The sequence below is a fragment of the Homo sapiens genome, chromosome 9, assembly GCF_000001405.40.
Source record: "Homo sapiens chromosome 9, GRCh38.p14 Primary Assembly".
NCBI lineage: Eukaryota > Metazoa > Chordata > Mammalia > Primates > Hominidae > Homo > Homo sapiens.
Genome location: NC_000009.12, coordinates 123,812,084 through 123,831,442, shown reverse-complemented (window position 1 = coordinate 123,831,442; position 19,359 = coordinate 123,812,084). Strand labels below are relative to the sequence as shown.

The 19,359-nt window shown below is 36.2% G+C and overlaps 1 protein-coding gene across 29 annotated transcripts in view; it reads left to right on the top strand.

The window, feature by feature from the left end:
* Nucleotides 1-19,359, top strand: part of DENND1A (DENN domain containing 1A) — a 550,469-nt gene that overhangs the window by 98,684 nt on the left and 432,426 nt on the right. The window contains exon 1 of one of the 29 annotated variants that reach the window (XM_011518885.4): nucleotides 14,503-14,562. The exons of the other annotated variants lie outside the window; for them this stretch is intronic. Within the exon in view, the coding sequence (XP_011517187.1) occupies nucleotides 14,538-14,562 (25 nt within the window). The 5' untranslated portion in view covers nucleotides 14,503-14,537. Of the gene's footprint in view, nucleotides 1-14,502; nucleotides 14,563-19,359 lie in introns of those variants that run through there. 29 annotated transcript variants of the gene reach the window in all.

The window sequence follows — 19,359 nt, the reverse complement described above, 5'->3', positions numbered from 1 at the left end:
TTGTTAATTTCCCTTAAAGTGCCTTGCTAAGATTTGTATTGGGATTTCATTGAATTGATATAAATGTGAGGAGATTTGATTATTTACATATTTAGTCTTCACATGAAGACTATATAATGAACATGACAGATTCCTTTATGTAATGTAGGTCCTTTTGTCATTTCTTTCAGTTATTATAGATATTCGTGTATAAGTCTTGCTTATTTTCATTATATTTATTTCTGGGTATTTAGTGTTCTCTGCTATTGTAAATGGTATCTTTGAATTTCATACTCTAAATATTTGTGGATGTGTTGAAATACAGTTAAATTTTGAAACCTGACGTAGTATCCAGCACATTTGCTAAGCTGTTTTATTGATTCCAATAATTTATCTGTAGATATTGTATTTTTTTAAACACAATCATGTTGCCTGCAAATAATAGTTTTATTTCCTCTTCTAATCCTTATGCCTTCCTTTCTTGTTCTTATTACGTGGGCTTAAGACCAGCAGTATAATGTTTAATGAGATTGATGATGGCAGGATTTCCTATTCTTTTCTGGTTTTTTTTTTTTTTTTTTTTTTTTTTTCATTTTTGAGATGAAATTTCACTCTTGTCACCCAGGCTGGAGTGCAGTGGGATGATCTCGGCTCGCTGCAACCTCTGCCTCCCGGGTTCAAGTGATTCTCCTGTCTCAGCCTCCCGAGTAGCTGGGATTACAGGCGTCTGCCACCACACCCAACTAATTGTTTTGTATTTTTAGTAGAGATGGGGTTTCACCATGTTGGCCAGGCTGGTCTCAAACCCTGACCTCAGGTGGTCCGCCCCCCTCGGCCTCCCAAAGTGCTGGGATTACACTTGTGAGCCACTGTGCCCGGCCCTCTTTTCCCTGTTTTGAAGGGAAAACTTTCCACATTTCACCTTTCAGTACCACGGTGGCTATAGGTTTTTTTAATTGAGTTTTTTGATTGATTTATAACTCACATATAGTAAAATGAACAAATCTTAAGCATACAGTTTGAATTTTGAAACATGTATACACCTGCGTAATTAACACCTCAGTCAAGATGTAGCTCAGTTTCCCATATACTCTTCTCTTTATTTCCAATTCCTTTACCCCACCAGAGACAACAACTGTTCTGATTTATGTTACCATAGATTAGTTTTGCTTTTCTTAAACCTTATAGAAATGGTATTCTATAGCATTTCCTTACAGAAATGGAATTCTCTTGGTTCTGGCTTCTTTCACTCAACATAAAGATTTTTTGAGAATCATCCATATTGCTTCACCTATCAGCAGTTTATTCTTTTTACTGGTAAGTAGTATTCCATTGTATAAATATTATAATTTGCTTATCCATTTGGATGAACATTCAGGTGAGACACAGTTTTTAAAAATAGATAACCTTTATCAGATTAAGACATCTCCTTTGTGTTATTGGAATAAATTCAAGTAGGTTGTCATGTATTATTATTTAATATATTGCTGCATTCCTTTTGCTAAAATTTTGTTTAGAATTTTCACATCAATGTTTAAATGAGGGATAAATTTCCTTTCTTGCATTGTCTTTAGATTTTAGTATCAAGGTTTTACTGGCCTCAAAACGAGTGTTTCCTCTTTCTCTATTCTCTGGAAAATTTGGTGTGATATTGATATGTGTTGTTCCTTAAAAGGTTGGAAGAACTTACTAATGAAGCCATAAGAGCTTGTAGTTTTCTCCATTAAACATGTCTTAATTATGTGTTCCCTGTATTTAATAGTTATTATACCTATTCAGGTTTTCTATTTCTTCTTGTATCAGTTCTTTTTTTGTACCTGTTTCCTTGTTTTTTATTTCTTCTTTTGCCTTTTATTATCCATCTGTTTGATTTTCTTTTCCTATCTTCAATATTTGTCACTTTACTTTGAATCCCTTTTAGCTATTTCCTCAGGATTTTTTGAATTTATCTCCTTTTACCTTCTGTTTCTCTTAAGGCATTATCTGTTGTGGTTTGTTGTTGTTGTTGTTGTTACTGTGTTTTCTCTAATTGGTTTTCATATTGGAGATGATTTTTTTCTTTTAAGTCTGAATTTTTTTTGTGAGTTCATCACCTCATTTTTACATTTTTGTAATTCTGATTTGTGTATTATTTCATGTCATGTGTAATTTTCTTAAAGTATTTTAACTAATTTGAAAGGAAGGTTATGGTTTTTATTTTGTGTTGATGTTTGTCTATCATGCCTTCATTGTCTCTAGGGACATTAGTCTGAATCTTACTCTGCTTTTTCTAATCATAACTTCCTATAGGATCTTACATTAACACTCATTTATTGCTCATTTATATGTGAAATTAGTTTTTCTGAACCTTTAGGAGGAGAAGTAGGTAGCTGTTATACTTCACTGAGCTATCTCTTGTAAAGTTTTCCTGTGATGCTTAAAAGCATATGATTTGTGGCCTAATCTTGCCTGGCTCCGTTCCCTTCTCCTGCCTTTTCCTGAACTTTTTCTTTATTTCAGTTCTGTGGTCTCTATACTGTTCAATTTTGATTTTACTTCCAGAAGCTTCACTTTGCTGTAGGTCCTTGTCCTAGAAGAGATCCCTATCTTTGGGAACTCAGAGTTTTAGAAACTGTATGACAGTTCTGCAACCTTCTTGTCAGAATCTCAGTTTGGTTTTTGATATTTTCATTGGGTATAGAAATCTAGCTTGGCATTTATTTTCTTTCAGGATCTTTAAAATATCATCTCATTGTCTTCTGGCTTACATTGTTTCTGCTGGAAAGTCATCTGTAAGTCTTATGGGTGTTCCTTTAATGGCAATTTTTTTTTCTTTTTTTTTTTTGGCTACTTTTAAGTTTTTCCTTTTCATTTTTAATTTTTAGCAGTTGCACTATGATTAGTGTAGGTGTTAATGTCTTTGCATTTGTCCTGCTTGAGGTTTAGAGTGTTTCTTAAATCTGGGATCTGATTTTTTGGTATGAATTTTGGGTATTTCTTAACATTACTTATTATTTCTTGTAAGCCAATTCTCTTTCTATCTTTTTTCTGGGACTCCCAATGACATACAAGTTAGGCCTAGTCACAGTAGTTCATATATAACTTACTCTCCCTTCTCTTTTTCAGTGTTATCCATTTGGGCTTAATCTGGATATTTTTTTCTGACCTATCTGTTCACTTGTTTTTTTCTTCAACTAATCTATTGTCCACTGAGTTATTAATTCATTTTTTTGTTCTAAAATCTAATTTATCAGTTTTAATTTTATGCAAAACTCTCAATCTTTTTAAACTTTCTTCCCCTCCCTGTCTTCCATCTTATCTCCCTCTCTCTCTCCCTTCCACGTCTTTCTTTCTTTCTCATATTGAGCAAAGTTATTTCAGTCTGTGAAATAACTGTGTCTGAGGCCAGTATTATTTGAATCCCTTCTGGGTCTGTTTCTATTGCTTTGAATCTCTGTTGTCACCTTTCTTTTGTCCCTGTTTACTTCGTAATTTTTTATTGAGTGCCAATTGTTGTATATTCAAAACCAGGTATATTTTAAGGTCTAGGGTAATATTATCCTCCTCCAGAGAGGATTTATATTAATTTTGTTTTTTAAGGCTAGTCATGCTAGCAATTGTCTCATCCCCTTGCTCCATCCTTCCTTCCTTCCCAATTAGGGGTTTAGGTGATTTGAAGATGGGCTTAGTCTCTGAGGATTCATCTATTTCCTTTTTACCCATCTCATGAGGTATAATTATTTGAGGTCCAACCCAAAGCCTAAAGCACTTACTGGGACCTCTTCTATTCTGTGGGCCCTACAAAAAATTACAGTTTTGTCTTCTTCATCCTGTTGGGGATTTGAAACCTCTGATCACCTTTGAGCCCCTTAGTTGCCTCTTCAGTAATCAGCCCATATCCTTGGGAGAAACATGTTCTTAAATGCTAGAATTTTGTGTCTGTGTGTACATGTACATGTGTGTGTGACAAGGTCTCACTCTGGTTGCCCAGGCTGGAGTGCAGTGGCATGATCATGGCTCACTGCATCACCAGCCTCGACCTCCCAGGGTCAGGTGTTCCTCCCACCTATATATATATATATATATATATATTATATATCCATTAATGAAATTATTCAAGGTCACAACAAAATCTTTTTCCTGAGGCCACTAAATAATCTTATTCTAGTTCTTCTTTTCTTTCAGACTTAGGACTTTAGGCTAACAAGTACCCTGACATTATAAGGCAGGTATACAGGAACTATAAGTGAAAGAGAAAAGAGGCCAAATAGGATGCATGTGATGTGGGTGTATATGTGTAATATAGACTGCAGAAAACCTATAATTAATTTTTTATATGCATGAATAACTACATATGAATCCTCCCACATAATTAGTTGAGTTGTGTTGAGTTCTTTTTCAATGGAAAAATATTTTTTCAGGAATTTGTCATACATTACAAGCTTTGATTTTTTTTAAGCTCTCTACATGTAGATGTATACTTTTAAATCCACACTGTATAATTAATCATGGGTTTGTTGGAATTACAGAAGTTATTTTCTAGCTTTAAGTTAGGTTTACATTATTGCTTATTTCTAGAGTCATACTTTGTATTTCCTCGTCTGTTTCTATAGTGCTTTGTACCATCATCAGTTTAAAAGAAGAGTTTAAAGAATGCTTTTTGATAGGCCTCCCACTAAGAGAATCTAGTTGGTGCTTAATCCTCACACCTGATAAATGGGTGAGATGCTTGTCCACAGGGCTGTGCAGAAGTTGCAGGTTTTGGGAACATGGCAGATGGGACAGAGTGGAGAATAGGTTTAATTAGAGGGGAAGCCAAGGGGTATCTTGAACCAAGTCTGAGAGGCAAGGTGAAAAGGGGAGAGCTAATACTGAGAACCTCAGCCAAGAGAATCAAGGGTATCATGGAATGTGGTGTGAGGAATGGTTTGATACAAGTATTCTGGAAGTAAGGTGGAGGAAAGGAAATGTGTATTGCAGCAGTGGCTTGAGGGGCATGGGGGAGAACATGGTGGCTTATAGGAGTCTTTCTGGCCCAGGACATTAGGAAATACTTTTTATTTATTTTATTTTTATTTTTATAGAGACAGGGTCTCGCTCTGTCATTGTGCTGTAGTGCAGTGGAGTGATCACAGTTCATTGCATCCTCCACCTCCCAGGCTCAAGCAATCATCTGACTCCAGCCTCCTGAGAAGTTGGGACTACAGGTGCAAACCACTGCACCTGGCTAATATTTGTATTTTTTGTAGAGATAGGGGTCTCACTTTGTTGCCCAGGCTGTGGAAATAATTTTTAGAGTCCATAGTTCACATCAAGGATCTTTTGTATTAGTTAACTTCCCCTAGCTTATGCTGCCTGAAGAAATTAACAAAAAGGACCCCAGAAATCTCAGGGGACTGAGAAAAACAAAAGTTCATTACATTCCTACAGTACCTTTTGGTTATAGCTCTGCTCTAGGGTCAGCTTTGACTCTCACTCAGGTATCCAAGCTGAAAGAGCAGCCCTCATCTGGGACATCCTTTTCTCATGGCAGCAGAAAAAGAAAACTGATGGAACCATGTGATAGCTCGTAAAGCTTTAGCTGCAAATTGGCACAGGCCACTTGCATTCACATTTCTTTGGCCACTGCTTTCACAGAGAAGGGCACTGTAAGTCACATGCCAACAGGCAAGGATGTATAATTTTCTCCAGGAAAGAGGGGTGAAAAATCGGATACAAAATTACAGTCAACCACATCTTCCTTTCTGGATGAAACTTTACATGTGATAAATATACACTCTTACAGAATTAGATACAATTTACCATTTTATATTGGCTTTTAAGATATGCATTTTCTCCCAAGTTAAGGTCTGAAATCGTGATGCATCTTACGGTAGATGGGGTCTTATAATCACTGCAAGCCAGGCAGCTGTTGTGATGTCATTGCCTAGGCATGAGAGAACTTGGCTGCTAGTCCTGGTGGTAGGATTGGACACCTGCAACCATTGACATTTCAGGATCATTTGAGAAAGGAATATGAGTCCTGACTTTCATTTGAAAATTTTCTGTTGACACCCCCTAGTAAGATCAGCATCCATTACAGAATGGGTGTCACCAGCTTGAGAAAAAAAATCTCAGAGGCAGTAGTTGCGCTTTTCTTCTTTTTTCTTTTCTTTCTTTTTTTTTTTTTAAAAGAAGAGCTGTGTCATCAGTGTTCCCAGGAGCATTGGGAACACGAATACTTTCACTAATTGATTGTGCTTATGTTTTACTTTTTATGTATGTATAGTAGTATTATATAAAAAATCTAGAGAACTGTATCAATAAGTGTAAGTTAATTTTACGTGATAAGAAACCATGGTACCAAACTTTAATTGCTCTCTCTTCTTTTTTGTTTTGGTGTTTCATGACTAATGGTGCATTTTATTCTCAGTGGCACTTAGACTCTGAAATATGGTAACTTGCTTCTTGCCCACTTAAAAATATTCATTATTTATTGGGTAAATGGAGCCAAGCTTTCTTTCTTAGAAGGCCTTCTTATAGGACATATTTTAAAATGAACTTTGAACTAATTTTACTCATTCTAGCTTTAAATAAAATTTATAAGAGATAGGTAAAACCTATGTTCTTGAAATGAAATTTTATTCTATTGTTTGGTACCACATAATGAAGTTAATCTTTTTCTCCAAAACAGTAAACTTTTAGTAAGGAGATAGGTTTTATTTTATTTTCTAATCATTTAATCTTACACTAGAATCGATAGCTAAAGCTTTTTTCCCCAATAAATTAACAGTTTACAGTAGTACCTTAGATATAGATTGGGAGGTATGCTGGTGTTATTAAAAAATCAGATGAACTCTATAAACACCCATTTGGAAAAATAGCTATTTTGACATCTTTCTTTTCTTTACTTTTTGGCTTTCTCAGTTTTGAAGCTACCCAATGTATTTTGAGTTTAAATTACATATATTGGTGAAAAAAAAAAGTTAACAGTATGTAGTCCATTGGTGATTTTCCAAATCCAAAAATTGATTTACCAGCAGGTACTATACAAAATTTCTTCACATCGCATTCAGCAAACAACTACTGAGATATTATGTTAGAATTTACAAAGATGAATAGAACACCACTGTCCCGCCTTCAGAGAACTTTCAATCTATTGTTGGCAAGTGATTGCGAGTTAAAGGTCTTGTTACCCCACTCTGGATTTGAGTGGTACTGGGGTTTAGAGTGTAAGAGCTTAAGTTTTGGGGTGTTTCTAGATCTGAGATTAAGTCCTGGTTCTGCTCCTTTGTCAGATTCTCCCTACTTTACCTCTCTGAGCCTGTTTCTTCTGTAGGGTTACTGTGAATACCTAGCACATTGTAGATGTTCAGTAAATGTTAGCTGGTGATAATGAGAATTATCACCTTGATAATTCTCATCTTCATTTCAGTGTTATGAAAGAACTTTGATTTTCATGTCAAATAGACCTGGCCAGATTTCAGTTCTGATGTTTATTAGGTGTGCGATACCACAGTGCCTACTGAATGGCTCTTCTTGACTTTCTTCTCATAGACATCTCAAATTGAACTTAGGATCATTCTCCTAATTTTGCTTATTCAACAGGGTTCCCCTCTTAGAGTTTCTTGTGCCAGAAACCTGGGAATTGTTCTCTTTTCCCTCCGTCTCTCTTGGTGTTTCTTCTGTCTTACATACTCACTCACCTTTCCCATTCAGTTCTATCATCTTATCTCAAGCCGGCTGACTTCCTTCTGCTCCCACGCTATCACCTGCATCAAGTCCTGCACCACTTCCCACTCAGGCTACTGTGGTTACCCAGCTAATCTTATATTTCATTTTGCCTAATTCCAGTCCATTCTCCACAGAACAGCTAGAGTTATGTTTGGAAGACACATGGGATCTTTTCGCTACCTTTTACTCCTTTTTGCTTAAAGCTTCTCAGGGGCTTCCTTTTATACCCGAATGAAGTCCTCAGTCCTTAGTGTGCCCCATGAGACCCTGTGTGACTTGGCACAAGCTTCCTTCTCTGGCCTTATTTCTTACCTCTGGCTCCCTTGTGCTCAGTGATCAACATATTGGGCTTCTGTTCTTTCTTCTTTTGACCCGCATTCCTTCCTGCCTCAAGTCTGCCTATAGTCAGTGCTGTTCCATCTGCCCAGACCACTTTCCTTTTCCCTACTTTTGCCTATCCAATTCCTTTGCATCCATCAAGGCTACTCGTGGGATAATTCCTGGGGAAGCCTTTTAATTCTTCTCAAAGTTGAATCTCTTTGTTAAGTATTTTTATAAAGCATGCTGTGCTTTTTCTTTTTTGCGTTTACCTCCCATTTAATGTTTTCCTTCCATACACTCTAGTTTTTTGACGGTATAGACTGTGTTTTATTCACTGCTCAGTTGTTCCCGAGTTTAGCACAGTACCTGAGACATAGTAAGTACACAATAAGTATCTGTTGAAAGGATGAGTAAATAAATGAGCATTACTTGCCTCATAGAGTTGATGTGAGACTTAAATTGGGACACAAAAGGTGTCTTACTGTATATTAGATAGCACACAGTGGGTTTGTAATATTCTCTTCTTTTCTTTTCTCCCTGCCCCCTGTATCGTAAGCGTTAAGAAAGGCCCACAAGTAGTTGCCAAACAATAGATTGTGACCTGCTGGTGGGTAATAAAACCAGTTTAATGGGTCTTGAAGTGAATTTTTAAAAATGAAATGGAATAAAATAGCAATTATCAGAGAAAATAACATATAGTAAGGACAGGTATAGTTTTCTGAAACTTTCTGTGTGTGAATGTGTTTATGTAGTAGGTGTCATATGTATCTTAATGTGGGCAATGGTTAAAAATTTTGAAAGCCACCATTGTAACAAATAGCTCAGTGTCATGTAGCCTTTAGGCAATCCTGTGTTTGAGTTAGTGCAGCTAAATGAGGATATATCCCATTTTTAAAGAAATGTAATTCTGCCTTTGCTGACTTAGTACAAGGTTCAGGGTCCTAGAATCCTCCTTAGTCGTAAATGCATCTACAAAAGCTCCTGTGATTACTAATTTCCCCCCTTCTATAGAGGCTGTATCCATTTCTAACCTGTGTATTTTCAAAGTAATTTTTACTTCTATATGTTGTATACCATGGCCTTTTCCACTATGTTGAAAAGATATCTTCAATATTGTTAATATTTAGTGTTGGGACACCTGTCTCATATAAAGTTTATAGTGATGGTAGTAACATTATATTGTGTTTATCATAAAGAAATTCTCTGATAGCTCAAATTATTGCTCTTATTAAATTTTATTGCTTTAGTGACTTTATAGGCTTTAGTATTATCAGTTTGATAGAAAGCCAGTGCTATACAGATATATAAAAACTCAGATTATATATGGGGACATAGAAAGCCAGACCCAGACAAAAGGAAGCCAAAGCGTCTAAGGATTAAGACAATAATAGTTATGATTGTGGTAGCTTGGTAAGTGATTTCATTTTTCAGTTAATTCTTTACATCAGGTTGGTAAACATTTGTGTTACTGAACTATGATTTTCTTCTTTAAGGCCAGTGGTCAGTTGAAAACCTTTGATGCTGTTGATTTTCTCAGCATTAATCATTGTTTTATACTCCAGTCTCCAAGGATGCATAAATTATAATAGCAACAAGGGGAGGGCTGGAGCCGGGTGGTTGCTGCTGCATTATTGTGTCCACAGGGATGGTATTTGTGTGCTTGTCCTCTGCATATTGTTGGACTGAGGAACTAGATCCTGTCCTCCGCAAAGCTGGAGACAACAATGAATTATAAACAGCATCAGAAAGCAGTGCTGTTAAGTGGTCTGTTTGAAACTGTTAGAGTTGATGGAGTAACATTATTCTGGGACTCTTATGAAATCTCATGAAAGCTTAGGTTGTCTCCTTTCTTATAGTTAATCTGTTTTGTAGACATTAATGGCAAATGTTCAAATAATACAGATTGTTACCTCTAATCCACCATAAGGAAAGATTGTGGTCAAGTCACATAATTCAGTTTTCACATTTTCTTACAACTGGTTTCTGTTAGCCATGACAGACTAGTAAGCTAGATGCTGTCGTATTCTTAGAACAGAAGCTACACAATGGTTTCTTGTTTATTCTTCACATAATTTTTTTTCATTTTGAAAATGACATTTATTTTGGAAAATTTAGAAAATAAAAAATGTAAGAGATATATATATAATTTTCCAACACTCAGATATTTCCTGTTACTTTATTATATTTCAGTCTATTGTCTATTTATATGTAAGAGAATACTGCATATTTTTTTCTGATGAATTTGAGATGAAATGAATATTTTTAGGGAAAATACACATTAGTCAAGTTAACTCAAAAAGAGATTTTAAAAAACTTACCTGGAACAATATTCATGGAAGAATTTGATAAAGTTGTCAAAACAGTATTCCTAAAAAGTTGCCAGTTCCAGATGGTTTAGCTTGTCAGTATTCACATCTTTGCAGATAATGCCTGTGCTATTCAAACTGTTCTAAAATATTTTTTCAATGGTATGCTTCTTCATTTTACTAAGTTGTAACCCAAATATGAAAATGTTAAGGCAAAAGGTAAGACAGAAAAGAAAGTGCAGGCTAGTCTTAATTATGACAAGGGAACTGACATGGATAAGCAGTGATTGCGCTATTGCTCCAATGATTTTTTGAAGCTCCACAAGAAAATCAATTTTGTGATATGAACAATTGCTATTACATTATTTGCTATGGATAAAAATGACATAAATTAAAACTTTAATCCTACAAAAGATGATCACATATAAGATATGGGAAATAACAATAAAAAAATTTAATTTTTAGTTGTCAGTACCAAAAAGAAAAAAAGTACCCCAAAACTCAGTGACTTAACACAACAATGATTTATTATCTCTCATGCTTCTGTGGATTGGCTGGGCTACCTTGGGTGGTTCTGCTCCATGAGATGTAAGCTGGGGTCAGTCATTCAGCAGGGAGCTCGCCATGTCCAAGATGAATTCAGCTCACACGTCTCATACTTCACCTGGGTGCCTGGAACAGTAGGACTCTGGTCTGGGCCTTTCATTGTCCATGTGGCCTCTCTGCATTCAGAAGTCCAGCCTGAGACACACAGCAGCCAGACCCTAAAAGGATGAAAGCAGAAGTTGCCAAGTCTCTAAAGGCCTATACCCAATAATGACTCGGCATAATTCCTGCTGTATTCCATGGTTCAAAGCAAGTCACGAAGTCAGCCCCCTTGAAGGATCCTGGAAACAGACTCCATGGCTTGATGGGAGAATTGGCATGTGCCATAGGGATGGGACTAAAGTTGGTGACATTTTTGAAGGCAACCTATCATACTGGCTTACATAGAACATTACTAAGCCTAAAGCCCTCTATGTGCCTCTTTCTGCCCTCTTTTTGTCCCTCACTTTTACCCCCAGATCATCACTGTCCCCTCTCAATATGTTTTTCCCTCCCAATATTGTTTCATCATTTTCTTGCTTTCCATTATTTCTTTTTTACCATATATGTAGGTATCTCCAAATAGTGTCATTTAGTTTTACATGATTGATATGCATTTATTTCTTAAAATTTTAAGTTTCAATTTAGAATAATTATTTATTTGAAGATTATTTATAAAATTCAGAAAAGTAAAAGAGAAAAATTAAAATATCTTCTAATCCCAGCTGGGCATGGTGGCTCACACCTGTAAGCCTAGCACTCTAGGATCCGAGGCTGGCTGATCACCTGAGGCCAGGAGTTTGAGACCAGCGTGGACAACATGGTGAAACCGTGTCTCTACTAAAAATACAAAACTTAGCCAGTCATGGTGGCATGCACCTGTAGTCCTAGCTACTTGCGAGGCCGAGGCAGGAGAATTGCTTGAACCCAGGAGGCAGAGGTTGCAGTGAGCCAAGATCGTGCCACTGAACTCTAGCCACTGAACCCCCACCTGGGCAACAGAGTGAGACCCTGTCTCAAAAATAAAAAAATAAAATATTTTTTAATCCCAGTCTTTAAGATATAATCATTGGTAATATTCTGGGATATGTTAATACCTGTGTACCCACCCCAGATTCATATCATGTATCTGTTGTTCTCTGAATCTCTTTCAGTGGCAAGGGCTATCACATTATCTGGATCTATAGTATTCAGTTTCTGAATTTTGGATTATACATAGCAAGAATTCCGATTTGTGAGGGATTCAGCCAAACATTTGACTCTGTTAGGATGGTGAGAGTTTGGATAGTGAAGGATACTTTTGTGTGTGTGCATGTGTTTGTATGGTGTGTAATGTTAAGAAAAGGAGGTAGAGTATTATATAGTAACATTCCTTTTAAAAATTTAGAAGGGAAAACAGTCTCAGTGGATTGTTGTTAAATACTCTGCAGTGTTCCAAAACTTTACTGTGCATGATAATCACCTGAAGAGCTTGTTGAAGCCCAGCTTCCTGGACCCCATGCCCAGAGATGGATTAAGTAGGTCTTGTGTGGGCCTAAGAATTTGTATTTTTAACAAGTTTGTAGGTGATGCTGACTTGCTGGCCTACGGATGACACTTTGAGAGCTTCTGTTCTATGATATGACTTTTAATGGATATATTGTGGTTTATCACATAAATGCATCATAATTCGTTTAATCAGTCCCTTATAAGACACTTAGTAGTCTAAATAGTTTTGTTATTACAGGTTGAACATCCCTAATCTAAAAATTTGAAATCCAAAATGCTCCAAAATGCTGCAGAATCTGAAGCCTTGTGGTGCTGACATGATGCCACAAATGGACGATTCCACACATGAGTACTTAACACAAACTTTGTTTCATGTGCAAAATTATTAAAAATATATGAAATTACCTTCAGGCTATGTGTGTAAGGTATGTACGAAATGTAAATGAATTTTGTGTTTAGACTTGGGTGCCATTCCAAGATCTCATTTTATATATATATATATATGTGTGTGTGTGTGTGTGTGTGTGTGTGTGTGTGTGTGTGTGTGTGTGTATATGTATGTATATATATGCCAATATTCCAAAATCCAAAAAAATCTGAAATCTGAATCACTTCTGATCTCAAGTGTTTCGGATAAGGGATACTCAACCTGTATTAACAATACTATAGGCCAGGTGCGGTGGCTCACGCCTGTAATCCCAGCACTTTGAGAGGCCTAGGCGGGCGGATCATAAGGTCAGGAGATCAAGACCATCCCTGCTAAAACGGTGAAACCCCGTCTGTACTAAAAATACAAAAAATTAGCCGGGTGTGGTGGCAGGCGCCTGTAGTCCCAGCTACTCGGGAGGCTGAGGCAGGAGAATGGTGTGAACCTGGGAGGCGGAGCTTGCAGTGAGCCGAGATCGCGCCACTGCATGCACTCCAGCCTGGGCGACAGCGAGACTCTGTCTCAAAACAAAACAAAACGAAAAACAATACTATAATGACCAATAAATTATACACATTTATTTGCATTTTCTTATAGTATATTTCTTTTCTTTTTTTTTTAACGGAGTCTCACTCTGTTGGTCAGGCTGGAGTGCAGTGGTGTGATGTCGGCTCACCGCAACTTCCGCCTCCCAGGTTTAAGCGATTCTCCTGCCTCAGCCTCCCAAGTAGCTGGGATTACAGGCGCCTGCCACCAAGCCTGGCTAATTTTTGTATTTTTAGTATAGAGGAGGTTTCACCTTGTTGGCCAGGCTGGTCTCGAATTCCTGACCTCAGGTGATCCACCCACCTCGGCCTCCCAAAGTACTGGGATTACAGGCATGAGCCACCACGCCCAGCCAGCATTTTCTATAGTATATTTCTAAAAGTTGAGTTACCTGGTCAAAGGGTTAGTACACATTTTTAAGATGTTTATAATGTAATACCTAATCATATTCCAGAGAGCTGTATCCTTTATATTCCAACTAGGAAAACATGAGAAATTTAAGTTAACGTTCTGAGGTCTCTGAGGGAAGTTTTCAAAAGGGGACTCCCAAAATAATTTAACATGTGCATTGGCTCATTAAGGTTATTATCTTGTGAGGGCAATACTCATTTGCATGTAAAAATTCTAATATATTAAAATGTTGGTTGCCTTATCTTACAGTTATACCTTGCACGTGGATGATTAACATTTTTAAGTGTTCAGATAAAAGTGTCTATTGTTTCCTTAAACCCCCCGGCGTGTGGACCAACACATTTATCTTTTTTAACCTCCTACAGTGAAATCCCACTGAAATTTTACATTGCCTATTGTAATTTGGTATAAAGATGAGTCATCTTTCATAGGGCTCAAAGCAGTTCTAGGGAAGGTAATAATCTCTGATCTTGAGGGACAAAGACTGGGTACAAATCTTTGTCCCTTTTCACTTATATTTTGACCATGGAGATCATCTAGGCTTTAAACCTCAATGTTACCATTGGGTAACATTACCATCGGGGTTACCATTGAGGTTATTATAGAGAGGTTGGGTATTACTGGAACAGAGTGTTATTTCCTTTTTGGAGCCCATGGAATTCTGCCAGGAAGTAACCTGCTTCCTCTGGCCTTGAGGAGGGACTGCAGATAAGAGACTAGTTAGCTGTCTACAGGTCCTTACCTTCTAGTGGCTGTATTTTTGCCCCTGAGAAGGTATAGGAATGGAGTTCGCCCTGGGACTGACAGGTACTACTGTCTGCATTTACAGTGCCTCTCTATTTTCCTCTTTTATGTATCTACTATGTTCCTTTAACCCTTTCAATGTAGTTTTTGGAGGACTTTATGAATTCTAAAGAATGTGAAAGAGCTTGGAAAGTTGTACAGAGTTTTGTGAATTCAAAATAACATTGCATTTGGTCCTATTCAAGGCACTATTGAAATGACTTACTCATTGGCCCTCAAGGGTAGTGTGAGAGGACCAGGTAATTATTTTTCCAAATTGATTTCTAATATTTGTTAGTGATCTCACAGATTTGTGTTCTTTCAAACATTCCCAATTTAAGAAAGGATCATATTATATTATAATAAGTTTGTAAAACACTATTTGGAAGTTGATTTATAAACCTCCCTTAAAACTTCATCCGCAGCATTTAACCTTTCTGGCTAGACCAGGAAGCCTATATCACCCATTTTATTGTGGGGAGAGCTTGGTGCAGATGAAAGTTTGAAATTTGGAATCATACAAACCTGAGATTAAATCCTCACTCTGACACTGAATAGATGTGTGACCTTGGGGAAATTAGTGAACTTGTAAGATTTGGTTTCAGCTGGGCGTGGTGGCTCATACCTATAACCCCAGGACTTTGGGATGCCAAGGCTGGCAGATCACTTGAACCCAGGAGTTCGAGACCAGCCTGACAAACATGGTGAAACCCCATCTCTACAAAAAAATACAAAAATTAGTTGGGTGTGGTGGCGCAAGCCTTTGGCCCCAGCTACTCAGGAGGCTAAAGTGGGAGGACCGCTTGAGCCCAGGAGGTCGAGGTTACAGTGAGCCAGGATTGTGCCACCGCACTCCAGCCTGGGTGACACAGTGAGACACTGTCTCAAAAAAAAAAAAAAAAAAAAAAAAAGTACAGTCACTTTGAGGGCCCAGTGCCAAATAGGTTCTTGATAATTGTTGTTTCTTTTTCTGCTTACTCTCTTTGAACATGTAGCTGTAAGTTTTCTGTTCTTTTTGAGTTATTATAGCAGTTGGGTTATGTTTTGCACAGACTTCTAGATTGTCCTGAAATACAAAATTACGGACACGTTTTAGCCTCCTCACATTGTAGAATGTTATACAATAAAGGAGAATACGGTCAGTTTGGAAAATTACATAGATCATAATGTGTATCTTCGGGAATTTTCTTAGAAAACGTGATTTTAATACGCTAAAACTATTTAGTTTTAAGTAATAAAGTAAATATTAAATTAATATTTTTACCCCTTCCTTTCTCAGCTATTAGAACTTAACTTATTGAGAATATCATTTTAAACAGTATTTCTTTGCAAATGTTATACTGCAAGTGCTATATAATTATCTTTCAGGCTGCAAATTTTTTGAAGGGGGCTTATTAGAAGTTATTTCTGGTCTGTAGCACAGTGGCTGTTTGCAGTGACTGACCTTCTGATCATTTTTGAGTAGAATTTGTTTAGTGTGTTAAAGTTGTTTCTAGTCATGTGAATTTACTGAGACAGTTATATGGTCAGATGTGTATTTTGCAGGGGGATGTCAGACTTTACACATTTGCTGATTAGTTAGGAATATTTCGTCTGCTGGTCAGTGGTTCCTGCTGATTTAAAAACAAAAGGTGCATCTGTAGACAGTGCTTAGATTGTATAAATTCAGTTGCATTAGCATCTGACACTGCAGGAGAGCAAATTATATCTTGAGCAAATAACTGTAAAGAATACAGCTGTTTGTGATATCTTTATTATGAAGGTACTGTTTTATTTCCACCCACAGTTTGAGTAAGATTTAATTTCCCGCCTAACCACATCGCTTTCTTTTCTAGTGAGATTTTGTCTTTGTAGGCTGAATTGTTTTTAGTTTTATATTTTAATGAAGAAGATTGTCAGCATTAGGAATTCCTTTAATTTCATTTGCTTTCAGCAAACATTGGAATTATTGTTAAACTCTCAAAACTATCATTCAATGAATAATATCTAATTATCAGTTGTAAAAACATTTTATTAATATTGATGCTATTCCAATGATTGCATCTTTAGCTTTCCTTGTTTAAGTATTTTTTAGGTAGCGTCACTTGGACACAGGAAACTAGAGTGCATTTTTCCATTAATAAAGAAGTGGTTGTTCTCTGATTTGATTGTTTGGATTGTGTGAATTGGAGAGTAATGTTTTTTTAGCATGACACTTTGAGAACTGCTACTTGGTTAGGATACTTTTGTTCCAAGGTCTCTTTGAGTCAGTTCCTATTAAAAGTGAAATGTGACAACCTATATAACAATGAGAATATTTGAACAATACAATACTTGTATTATTATTGTATGGCTTTGAGGAAAACCTCATACTGTGTCTAATTGAATTTATTATGCTTAATGAATTTTTTGAACCAAAGAGTACCTTTTTTGTTTACTTGACCATTGAGTTTGTTTTTAAGTATATATAAAATATGCTATAAAACATGTACAATGCTGAAAATTTGCAGCCTGAAAGATAATTATACAGCAGCTGCAGTATAACATTTGCAAAGAAATGCTGTTAAAAATGATATTCTCAATAAGTTAGGTTCCAATAGATGGCTGGATGAAGAAGGGGTAAAAATATTAAATTAACATTTGCTTTTATTAAGAGTTCCTGTGAATTTTTATAATAGAATTGATCACAATGAATTTATTTGGTAAATTATTAATGTCCGTGTTACATACCCTCTTAAGAATACCTTACAGTGTCATATTCAGAAACATATTATTAACTTAAAATGGTGTTCTTTTTCAAGAGAACAAAGAATTCAAATTTAGCTGGTTGATACTAGTTACATTATGTAAATTATGGTAAATGTAACATTATGTAAAAATCTGTAAGTAGTTATACAGGATTTATATCAGTAAAATAATTTTGGTTAGCTTATGCAAGAATATCACAATCAAATTTAGTGATGATTGCAGTAGTATCAGTTAGGCATTTCTCTTCTTAATGCTGTAACTATTGAGATAAGCGTCTTCCTAAGTGGCCCTTTTCTAAATCTAAGTTTTGGAAAGGAGTGGAAAACTGATGTGAGATTGTGAATTTTGAGGGCTAGGTAAAAAGTTTGTTTGTGAGTCTGCACGAAACTCTCTTAAAACTTGGTATCTTATGAGTATTAAAAAAGCTGGTAGAAATGTCTGTTTTACTTTTGCCTAATTTTTTTTACTTATTAGACAATCCAGTATCTGTTTGGATTCTTTGTGCTTTTCTTTGGATAATTGTGAACGCAGATCTTTTTTTTCGGGTCTAAGTAAAGCCGACTCAGTATATTCTGGTATGTTCTGTCCTACCAAATGTCATTAGTTATGACTTGTCATATTTAAGTATTAAATAGTACACCTTTTCCCTAATTTTTTTTTTTAGATGAGAAGGGCTTTGCCAGCTGCCCTTAGGAATTAGAAATAAAAAGGTTATCACCAGGCAATTCCTCTATTTGAGAGAGAATTTACTGGTCCTTTGGAAAAAAAAAAAGTCCTACTCACAGCCTTGATAAAAATAAATTACAAGTAGATTAAAGATGTACATTAAAAAGCAGAAGTTCATAGAAAATGTGAAAATATTTTTAGAAGTCTTACGAAAGGATTTCTTGACTAAGATGTAAAAAAGCACAAACAAAGCCAGATACAGTGGCTCACACCTGTAATCCCACATATTGGGAGGCTGAGACAGGAAGATTGCTTGAGTTCAGGAGTTCGAGACCAGCCTGGACAACATAGTGAGATCCCTGTCTCTACAGAAAACCAAAAAATTAGCTGAGACCACAGGTGCCTGTGGTGGTGTGCGCCTGTGGTCCCAGCTACTGGAGAGGCTGAGGTGGGAGGATCCCTTGAGTCTGGAGGTCAAGGCTGCAGTGAGCCATGATCATGCCACTGCCCTCCAGCCTGGAAGATAGAGTGAGACCCTTTCCAAAAACCACAAAGAAACATCACAAACCATGTTGAAAAAGACTTGACTCTTGATTTGAGTACACTAAAATCTGAAACTTTGGTATGGCAAAAAAGAACTATTAACAAAATAAAAAGACAATTATTAGATTGAAAATTTTTACAAGGCTTAGGATCCAGAATACATAAGGTACTCGAAAGAAAGAAATTTTTTAGATAGGCAAAAAATATTAGATGAAATAATAAAATAATAAATCCAAGTAGTTAAGAGTCATTTAAAAAGATTATGATTCTATCACTAAAATGAAGGAAATATAAATTAAAATCCTAAGAGAGTATTTTATACATGAGAGTGGCAGAAAATGTCAAAAATCAACCAGTACCAGTATTAATAAGAATGTGGAAGGGCAAAAACTCTTATGTGCTTTGATAATATCTAGTGAAGTGGAAGGTGCTCACGTTCTAGCAACCACTCATTCCACTCACTGTATATTGCAGTGAAATTCTCATTTGTGTACAAAGTGTCATATCAAGAATGTTCATAGCATCTTTTTTTTTTTGTAACTGAAAAATCCTTAAAACCTAAATGATCATCAACAGGGAAAAAATGGATAAATTGTGACTTATTAATATAGAATAAAGAATTATATAGCTGAATAGAAGAATTTTATAGCAATTAAAAGGAATGGATCCAATCTGCTTGAAGCAACATGAGTAATTCTCAAAAACATAATTTTGAATTAGAAAAACAGGCTAAAAGTACTATCTGCAAAATATCAGATATATAAATGTTAAAAATACAAAACAACTCTATTTTATCATGGGTGCATTTATATATATTAAACGTACAACAGTATGGATGGAAAGACTGCATGCCAACCTTAAAAAATGGTTACTTCTGGAAAGGGA